General features: G+C 41.5%; 1 protein-coding gene across 32 annotated transcripts in view; it reads right to left on the bottom strand.

Annotated features, from left to right (window-relative positions):
- The window catches only part of PLCE1 (phospholipase C epsilon 1), a 338,893-nt gene that overhangs the window by 53,781 nt on the left and 274,248 nt on the right, over positions 1 to 10,864 (bottom strand). For all 32 annotated transcript variants that reach the window (XM_047425285.1, XM_047425289.1, XM_047425297.1 and 29 more), the window contains 3 exons: positions 10,007 to 10,114; positions 8,441 to 8,557; positions 5,323 to 5,481 (listed from right to left, as the gene is read on the bottom strand). In XM_047425285.1, coding sequence (XP_047281241.1) covers positions 5,323 to 5,481; positions 8,441 to 8,557; positions 10,007 to 10,114 — 384 coding nt within the window. The remainder of the gene's footprint in view (positions 1 to 5,322; positions 5,482 to 8,440; positions 8,558 to 10,006; positions 10,115 to 10,864) is intronic.

Below are 10,864 nucleotides of genomic sequence, written 5' to 3'. Positions count from 1 at the left end.
TAAGCAATGGTTGTCTGCTGGAGAGAATGAGATATGAAAAAATAATTGATATATATTTATTGAACAAAGGAAGTGAACAAATTCTTTTATTCAATATTTATGCATTGAATATACTATATAGATTATATATACACACATATATAATTCTGCATGTGTATGTGTGCATACATGTGTGCTAATATATACTATATATAATGTATGTGTGTGCATACAGATAATAGCTATACATGTAAATATATACACTATATAAATATACATATAATTCTGTATTTGTTTTATATATTTAAAGTGCAATTATATAAAATGACAGTCACGAAGTCCTAGATATTAAATGTTAATATGGCAGGGGTTCTTCACTTGTTTTTGCATCACAGACTTCTCTGGTTGTCTGGTGAGACAGGATCCCTTCTCAGAATGATGTTTTAAATGCATAAAATGAAATGGTTACAAAGGAAATACTGTTGAATACAGTGATCACATGTTATAGGAACAAATTTGTGCTATTAGAATATATGTGTTTATTAACACAGTAGAAAACATAGTAGTAAGTTAATTAACATTTTTGAAAATATAAATTGAGCATAAATAATTCTTGGAGATATTAGCGACAACTGTGAAGTATAATGAAAAAGTTGCCATTTCTATTGATGACAATAGGTATTGCCTATATTACTGTAGTTTATTCCCTACATTTATGATCAGAGGAAATGCTAAATTTCAGCTAGAGGTTAGTGAAAATAAAGATGTAATTTTTTTCCATTTATATTCGTAGACTCCCTAAATTCTATTTGTGGATATTACCAAGGTTAAGAACTCGTGTAATACAGTTGTGTTTGACCCTGGAATTATGTATGTTTTAAAATAATTCTCTATTCCCTAAATTTTTGAAATGTGGTTATATTACCTTTATAATGAATATGTATACATAAGGAAGATACAATTTAGGCTGTGTCCATATCCAGATGAAATGTATTACAAAGCAGTCCATTCCAGATAACTGGACATGGTCTAGGCTGCGATTTCTCAAAGTGGGTTTTATGGAGCTCGGTGGGTGTTAATAGGTGTTATGGAAAAACTGACAATTACAGGAACCACAAGATACACTGAATGCCTGGAAGCAGCAGCTTAACCAAACCTGAACACATTCCTACTACAGGGTTTCACACAGCCTTCATTTAATACGCTAAAGGGCATCACGAGTCTTCAAAGATCTCCAGTGCAGCATTTCCCATGCTTACTTAACCAGGAAATTTTTTTCCCCTGTCTTTCTCTTCTCAGAGTCTCTCATAGGATTAGTGTTCTTCAAAACTTTGGGAAATCTGTTGTAGGCACAAGTGAGCCACAAAAGCAGGTCTGTTTATCGCTGATAAGAGAAGGGCCTTGACTCAGCGAGCACTCAAGGTAATGCCAAGTGCTGGGAATGATGACGCCAAGGGCTGGACAGACCCCACTGGCAGGGAAGCATGAGAACTGTATGGGAGAAGGACACTGCTCAAAGAACCACGAATAGCAGTGTCTGAAAGTGGAGTGCCAAGGCCCCCAAGATGCTCAAGGAGAAGCATGGGAGAGGTAGCCCAACAAACGGCCAACAGCTGGGACCCTTCTATGCAATATCCTACTTATTCTAGGGTAGAAAAATGGGACCTCAGCCCCTGAATAAAAGTAACTCGGATATAGGTTGTGGTTGGAGGTATGGGTCAGATGAGGAGACTGGCCCTCATAGGGCTAAGCAGGAGCAATGTCTTACACTTCTCTGTTTCCCCAGTACCTAGCCGCAGTGTCTGTCATTTAAGGTGAACTGAGTTTTTTGGGTTCAAATTCAGGAGAGGAATGTCAGAATCCTGGAGGATCCTGGTGGGGTATAGTTAGGAGACCTCAGGATGCATCTCAGTACAAGCCAGAGGCAGGTGGAGGGCTTCAGAAATCCTGCTCTGAGTCAATCCATCCTTGCTGAGGGTGAGTTCTTTGTATGGGAAATGACTCCGGCCTTCTATGTTAGCGGGTAGGTCTGAGCCCACTGGAGCTCTGGATCACCTGGTTTATTTGAGGTCAGATCATCACTAGGTCTAGACCCATGATCTACCAGAAAACAGAAAGGCCTTACGGATGTGACTGTGGAATCATTGCTGGTACCCCTTGGGAAGTCATCATGAAAGGTTGCAAGCAGTCTTAGAAAACTGGCAATAGGGATTATATTGTCCCATTTTTCCAAAATAAGGAACAAGTAAGTTGTGGAAATTATACTGTGGGCAGTGTCAAGGTGATAGCTGACAAAATTTCATGATGGGGTATTAATCACTTGGTTTGTGAGAACTTAGAAAATAAAGAGGTGATTTGCAAGAGTTAGAGTGGATCTACTAAGAACAAGTTTACCACACAGTGACCTCCTTAGCTGTTTTGGATAAGATAATTCACTTTATGGGAAAAACAGCAGATAAATAGTGTTTCTCAAACTTCCAGGATAATAAGAATTATTATTGTTATTATTTTTTACGCAGACACCATGGTGACTTAAGGAATTATTTTTATATAAACAGATGACCAGGCCTTTCTTCTGGAAATTCTGACTTAGTCAGTCAGATTTGTGACCTTAGAATCTGTTTTTCAAAGTGCTCCAGCGATTATTCTTATTAATGTACTCTGACTTCTGTATCACCTTTGAAAAGGGCTTCTCTAAAGACCCAAGTCTGAGACTAAGCTCTATTGCTATGAGCTGGGTGGCCTTGAGAAAGTCACACAAGTGGCCAGGTTTCAGTTTTCTATTTTATAAATAAAGAAATCAATAAAGAAGTCGAAGCACACTCTGGGAAATGCAGGCTACAAGAGAGGAGAGCACCAGACGGGGGCAATAATCATCAAATGCCAGGGGGCTTATTTAAGAAGGGCACAGGCCTCTCCATGTGGCTGGCTGACTCAAGGGCAACTTGGGATGAAGACACAGTTTGAGAAACTGCTAATAAATGTACCAGATGACAGAAACAAAATTCACAAAGAACTTTGTAGGACGTAATAATATACCAAAACCAAGAAGAGCAGAAATAGAGATAAATGTGAGGCTCCCATATACAAAAGGTTAAAATTCATTGTTAATCTGGAAAAATGGGAACGCTGGGCATAAGAACAGTCTATATGAAAATAACTGAATGCTTTTTGTTTTCTACAAGCTCAACATGAGCTCAGTGTGTGCTAAAGAATTTTTTTTTTTTTTGAGTCAGGGTCTTACTCTATGGCCCAGACTGGTATGCAGTGGCACAACATGGCTCATTGCAGCCTTGGCCTCCCAGGCTCAGGTGATCCTCCTGCCTCAGCCTCTCCAGTAGCTGGGAATACAGGCACATGCCACCATGCCCAGCTAATTTTTATATTTTGTGTAGAGATGGGGATTTGATATGTTGCCCAGGCTTGTCTTGAACTCCTAGATTCAAGCAATCGACCTGCCTCGGCCTCCCAAAGTGCTGGGATTACAGGCGTGAGCCACAGCGGCTGGCCAAGAATTTTTGAAAAGCAGACAGTCTGAGGCTGTATTAACAAAGGTTTAAAGTTCAAATTAGGGGAGGTGATGGTTTCACTGTTCTTGTGCTGTAATATACTACCTAGAATACTGATTTAGTTCTGGAAATCACATTTTCAGATTGACGAATTCAAGAATATCCACAAATTTAAGAATATCTACGATATTCTTAATGGTAAGTAAAGAGTCTTAGCAACCATATCCTGTCAGGAACAGTTGGCACAACAAGAATTTTTAGCTTGGAGAAGAAAAGCTGGTGGGGAAACACATGATAGCTTTCTAAATATAAAATTAGTCTGTACAGCTGCAGAGGGAAGAGGGAGGGCCAATGAGAAGGAGGAAAAGGAAGGAAGATTTGGGCTCAACATAAAAAAGACTTCTGTTCATTAGTGGAATGAAGGCCTTATAAGTAACTGCAAATGACTGTGCACAGAATGGAAAAGGCAAGGACATTCACATTTATCATTTATCTTGAAGACCACAGTGGTATGTGTGGTTAGCAGCTTTATCTGCTTGGCAGTGAGGACTGGGCAGGAATTGTTGGATAAAGAAAACAGCACAGATGAACAGGGCTCTAGAAGAAAAAGCACCACACTGGGTGGTCAGTCACTGATGTGGCATTTGAGGAAGGCAAGGTAGAGTATACATGCTAACATTTAAATAACTTTGTAACAAGGCCCATCAGCATAGGTGCCATGGCCTCTGAAACCCAAGCAAAAGCAAGGTCACCTGGAGCAGATTTGGAAGTGCAGATCTGGATAAAGGTAGACCTACTGGAGGTCTCCAACTGGTGGCCCTTGGGGCTGACTGCACCTCCAGACCTGACTTGTTTGGCTGGTGCAGTGTTTAAAAATAATTGAATTAGAGCTGTTCTTTGACACGGCGTGCACACTCCACTCCTGTCCTCACCACTTCCAGCTGTCCTGTATCCAGCTGGCTCCTCACACTGATGTTTCCTGCTTAGCCCCTGAAAGTGGCTGATTTTGCAACTTTTGGCCCAGAATCATGGGTGATCTTCAAATTGGGTAATGTATTACCTTCAGAGGACACAAACACTTCAAGGGAATATGCAGGTTCGGATGTTTGTAAAGAAACTGGTTTCTGTATGTTTAGCATCTGTGTGCCTGTACTCTTTGAGCCAGCCTGAGAGCAAGTCTGTAGCTGGCTAGTTTCCAAAGTGATGTTTTAGGACCAACAGTGCCCTCCTAAGTAGGACAAATAGTTTTGTCAGCTGTCATCCTGTGGGATAAGTAGGTGCAGACTGGAAAATGGACTCAGTGTTCTGTACCTGAACTTTTTCACAGACCTTTGAGCCGAGGGTCTCCTACACAGGTGGGTTTGTCGTGCTTGGGCCCAGATCTCTGTTGTCCGGATCTGGGCCCAAGCAGCATAAACTAGTGATACGCTGGGATCACAGGGCTATGGCTTTTGGGCTTCTACTACAGGCCCCATGCCAAGGGCTCCCCTAAGGGGACTCTCCCTAAAGGGGACTATAGCAGCCATTATGGGATGAACAACCCCCTAAGCTCAGTTTCAGACACAACAGTCACACTTCATCCCACTCAGAATAAATTAAATAACGGAGGTATATTCTATGTGGGAACTATTCCACAAATTAAATCTTGGGTGAGTGAGATGAGAGAATTTATTGGTCTATGGAATGAAAAGCCCAAAATCAAACTTATCATTTAAGGAAAGTCAGTCTTGAAAAACTAGTAAACCAGCAGGTCATCTGAAAGGTTAGAATGATGTTATTTTTCTTTGTTCTAGGCACACTGCCTTTTCATAACTGGTTTAACAGAGGGGAGTACCTTTTGCTTTAAGATATCCACTGGCGTCTGATGGGCTTTTAGCTTCTTGTTTTTAAGAAGAACTTTCTTTCTGAGTTGGTCAGGTGAAGGAAGCATTGGATCATCTGAGAAATCAGTCTCAAATAAGAATTTAGTCACCAGCTTTTCTCCAAACACAGTCTAAAAAGAATGAAGGAAAACATACAATCAATGCCTTTTATCTATAATTGATAAATATATGTACACTTCATAAACATAGTAGATATTTTAGACTGGTTGAATTATTTAAAAAGTCTTAGGAAGAGGAACTAGGAAAGAAGCTGTCCCCTGCTCCTGCCCCCTTCACAGTTTCTTACTGAAAGGAAGGGAGGTGTTTAGAAGGACAGGAGGAGAGGTCGAGGCCACTCTGCAGCTGGTGTCAGTTCTAACTATTTAGGAAAATATTCTGTGGTCTGATGTATTAAATAAGAAAACAGAGAATCAGTTAGAGGCTGTTGTTTGTAGAATAAGGTTAGTTTCAGATGAAGTCAAGTCAAAAGGATAAAACTTTGGAGGGGGTAGGGAGCAGGGACAAAGACATAGGTAGAATTTGCGTCCACATAGTGTAAAGAACCACAGACACAATTCTCACAAAGATTTTGAGCATGGATCTCCAAAGCAGAATGTGTGTCTGTCAAGGAGGTGGGTGGAGGGAAAGCAGACACAATGCTTATATCAACTCCATTGTTGCCCAGGCTGGTCTCGAACTCCTGAGCTCAAGCGATCCACCCGCCTCAGCCTCCCAAAGTGCTAGGATTACAGGTGTGAGCCACTGGGCCTGGCCTTGAGTTATTTTTTAATTGAAAAAAAAAATCAAAGCTTAGGCCAGGACAATATGAAAAGTTAATTAGTTTTGTTGGCATTAATATTTGGGGACATTTTGTCAGTGCCCCTCTTTCCCACTGAGAGCCTCATTTCCACAAATGCCTCTACCATTAAAGGAAGGGGGAAGTATAATGGAATATCTGCTTCTAAATCTGGGTGCATTATTGTTGTGGGAAGTCAGGGATCCCGAACGGAGGGACCAGCTGGAGCCGTGGCAGAGGAACATAAATTGTGAAGATTTCACGGACGTTTATCGTTCCCAAAATTCATACTTTTTAATTTCTTATGCCTGTCTTTACTTCAATCTCTTAATCCTGTTATCTTTGTAAGCTGAAAATGTACGTCACCTCAGGACCACTATTGTACAAATTGATTGTAAAACATGTGTGTTTGGACAATATGAAATCAGTGCACCTTGAAAATGAACAGAATAACAGCGATTTTAGGGAACAAGGGAAGACAACCATAAGGTGTGACCGCCTGCAGGGTCAGGCAAAAAGAGCCATATTTTTCTTGTTGCAGAGAGCCTATAAACAGACGTGCAAGTAGGAGAGATATTGCTAAATTCTTTTCCTAGCAAGGAATATAATATTAAGACCCTAGGAAAAGAATTGCATTCCTGGGGGGAGGTCTATAAACAGCTGCTCTGGGAATGTCTGTCCTATGCAGTTGAGATAAGGACTGAGACATGCCCTGGTCTCCTGCAGTACCTTCAGGCTTACTAGGATTGGGAAACCCCAGCCCTGGTAAATTTGAGGTCAGACCGGTTCTCTGCTCTTGAACCCTGTTTTCTGTTAATATGTTTATCAAGACAATACGTACACCGCTGAACGTAGACCCTTATCAGGAGTTTCTGATTTTGCCCTGGTCCTGTTTCCTCAGAAGCATGTGATCCTTGCTCTGCCTTTTGTCCCTTGAAGCATGTGACCTACTCCCTGTTTGTAAACCCCTTTTGAAATCCTTAATAAAACTTGCTGGGTTTGCGGCTCAGGTGGGCATCATGGACCTATCAATATGTGATGTCGCCCCCAGCAGCCCAGCTGTAAAATTCCTCTCTTTGTATTCTTTCTCTTTATATCTCAGACTGGCTGACACTTAGGGAAAATAGAAAGAACCTACGTTGAAACATTGGGGGCAGGTTCCCCTGATACATTATCATACCCTTATATAAGGAAGGACTGACTGTTAACACAGCAACTGTTCTGGCCAGTCTAAGCTCTTTGCTAACTTGGATCTTTGTACTGTGGTATAAGAAGATCTTCTTGGCTGGGTGCGGTGCCTCACGTATGTAATCCCAGCACTCTGGGAGGCTGAGGTGGGTGGATCATGAGGTCAGGAGTTCGAGACCATCCTGGCTAACATGGTGAAACCCCATCTCTACTAAAAATACAAAAAATTAGCCAGACGTGGTGGTGGGCGCCTGTAGTCCCAGCTACTCAGGAGGCTGAGGCAGGAGAATGGTGTGAACCTGGGAGGCAGAGCTTGCAGTGAGCAGAGATTGCACCACTGCACTCCAGCCTGGGTGACAGAGCGAGACTCCATCGCAAAAAAAAAAAAAAAAAAAAAAAAAAGATGATCTTCTCCTATAAGATTTGACTTACTTGCCCTGAGATATTTTCAGCTTTTCCACATACAACTGACAGATGACATCCTGGCATCCCTGACTTGTGGTACCAGAAGTGTTGGAGAGTTGGTCTATCCTAATCTCCTAAGGCTTTCTGGAAAGGGTAAGGAGACCAGAGAGCAATACTTATATCACTCCAGCTGAAAATAGGGACCATCCCAGAGAGGGCCCAGGCTCTAAGAACAGCCCAATTTCTCAGGTTTGTGGGACCCTAACTGTATATGCTTCACAGCCAAGGTCTAATTGCAGCATAGTCCACAAAGGCCTCATTTAAACCTAATGACGGCTGGGTGCAGTGTCTCACGCCTATAATCCCAGTACTTTGGGAGGCCGAGATGGGTGGATCACTTGAAGCCAGGAGTTCCAGAGCAGCCTGGCCATCATGGCGAAACCTCATCTCTACTAAAAATACAAAAATTAGCCAGGCATGGGGGCGCATGCTGGTAATCCCAGCTACTCGGGAGGCTGAGGCAGGACAATCGCTTGAACCTCAGAGGCAGAGGTTGCAGTGAGCCAAGACTGCACCACTGCACTCCAGCCTGGGTGAGAGAGCGAGACTCTGTCTCAAAAAACAAAACAAAACAAAACAACCCAATGACAATTGCAAAACAAGGGCCAACATACCATCCTGCCTTTTTGTTGAGAGCTCACCTTGAAAATTTCTGCCATTTTTCGTTGCTGAGGCAATGAACAGTGGTTCTCAATCGATATGATGATTGGCAGGTCAGAGTTGATGAAGGCACTGCGATCAATGGCTTCAACCACTTCCTATGAGAGCCAAAACAGCTCATTAGAGTCCAGATATCTGTCAAGGTGGTCAGAAGGCAGGGTAGTTATAGCCACAGAAAGCATCTCAATTGTTACATGCAGCAGACTCTGGCCAAAGATGGTTTTCGTATTTTCAAATGAAGCATGAGGATAAGGCCATTTTGTAGAAAGACATTAAACTTTATAGTGAGTATTGTTCACATACTATAAGGAACAACTATCATATTGAATTTAACAAATCTATTTATATACATATACTCTCTCTGTATACATATATAGAGTATATTGCAGGTAAAAGACACTGTCCTAGTTATAGCAGCAAACATAATTAAGCATAAAATACTTTCTTGCTTATAAAGAGTTTATAATTTATTTGAGGCAATAAGACATATGTCACATATATTTATGTGTATATGTAAACACAGTTATCAACTCATGCCCATGCCAATATAGCATACAGGAGTTTTAGGAATGCTAAATAGGAAACCAAGTTGAGGAGAAAATGCATTTTAGCCACTATTTCTACATGTAAAATAAAAATAATATTCCTTCACAACCTGGCCACAGTTCAGAGAAAAATTATGTTATATAGCCTAAGACCCTCTGAATGAAGGTAGTAATTGCATAACTCAACTAATAAGCTACCCAGAATTTGAAACACAAATCCAGTGAGATCAGTCTTCCTGGGTGACCAATCTTCTTAGGTGGAACTGATGCTCATTACATTATAATGCTAACTATTTAACCATCTCCTAACTCCTGACATTGGCCTTTGTCAGCATGACACTAGGACAAATGACCATTAATTCCTATAGCAGGAAAATAGACCTTGCCTTTATATATCATATTACGTAAAAATTGCAACAATATTATTACATGCTAACTAATGTAAGGTAATGGTTACTAACTTGGGTTGAATGGGGAATCTAATGAGAGTTCTAGATTAACTCCAGAAAAATGAACATGTGCACATTCCACATGATACAGCAAACACTTTTGGGAAGTCTTCATTTAGACCCAGCATAAAGACCCTTGATCTAAGGTGTAATTTGGTCAAGTCACTGATTTAAATAAAGAATGAAGGCCAGGCACGGTGGCTCACGTCTGTAATCCCGGTACTTTGGGAGGCTGAGGGGCGGGCGGAGCACTTGAGGTCAGGAGTTTGAGACCAGCCTGGCCAACGTGGTGAAACCCCATCTCTACTGGAAATACAAAAATTGGCTGGGCTTGATGGTATGGGCTTGTAATCCTAGCTACTTGGGAGGCTGATGTAGGAGAATCTCTTGAACCTCGGAGGCAGAGGTTGCAGTGAGCCAAGATGGTACCACTCTACTCCAGCCTGGATAACAGAGCGAGAACCCGTCTCAAAAAAAAAAAAAAAAAAAAAAAAAGACAAATGAAGATAATGTCTCTTTGTGATTTGATTTAAAGAAAGTTATGAAGGATTACCTTGAAGGGGATCTTGGTTGTCAGCGTATGTCCATGATAAATGATGGGCATCCCATCGTCTCCGTCCCAGCAGTCCAATTCTACACTTCGACAGCCTTGCAAAAGGACCTGTGTGATCAATGAGCGAATCCACCCCAGGTGAGCACCTGGAGATAAAGCCTCGAACTAAACCCAGCATGTAGTTCTACATATCAGGCAGTGTTTACACTCAGGACTAAAGCAGAAGGGCAAATGGTCTAAAACAAACATGGCATTTTTGCCAAAGGCCACAATTAATCCAGAGTGGGGAAGGAAGGGAACAGATTAAGGTAGAAAGAGTGTTTACCAGAGCTGGATATTAAAGGAAAGTAAAATTTGATAGCAAAACCATATGGCCATTTTCCTAGCAACTTTGGCCCCTTGAAAGGGCACGTCTTCAAATTAGAGAGCCAGGCAAGTGCTCTCTATCTGGGTAGACATCAATGGAGGTGAAAATGCTGATGCCACAGCCCAGAGAAAATAAGGCCACTGAGTCCTTAATGAACTGGCTAAACATTTACAGCAAGCCAATCAGGATAAAATCACTTCCATTAAGACCCAAATTAAGCCACGATTAAACATCTTTGCTGTGAATGCATAACATGTAAGAAGAGTGGAAGCAGAGTTATCAAGGATTTGCCTGGCTATCTAATTCCAGAATAGCAACTAGAGCAGGGATGGCAAATAATCCATAAATGGTTCCTTTCTCCCATACCCACAGCAGACATCAGTAATCAAGCTAGGCACACTTGTCCTTTAAGCTTTAATATGTTAGCTCATAACCTCTTTATTAAAGTGCTCCAGAAAACACTACCAAAGAATCAGATGAGCTGATACCTA

This window comes from Homo sapiens, chromosome 10 (assembly GCF_000001405.40).
Source record: "Homo sapiens chromosome 10, GRCh38.p14 Primary Assembly".
NCBI lineage: Eukaryota > Metazoa > Chordata > Mammalia > Primates > Hominidae > Homo > Homo sapiens.
The sequence above is the reverse complement of the archived record's forward strand: the minus strand, read 5'-3'. Positions and strand labels throughout refer to the sequence as shown.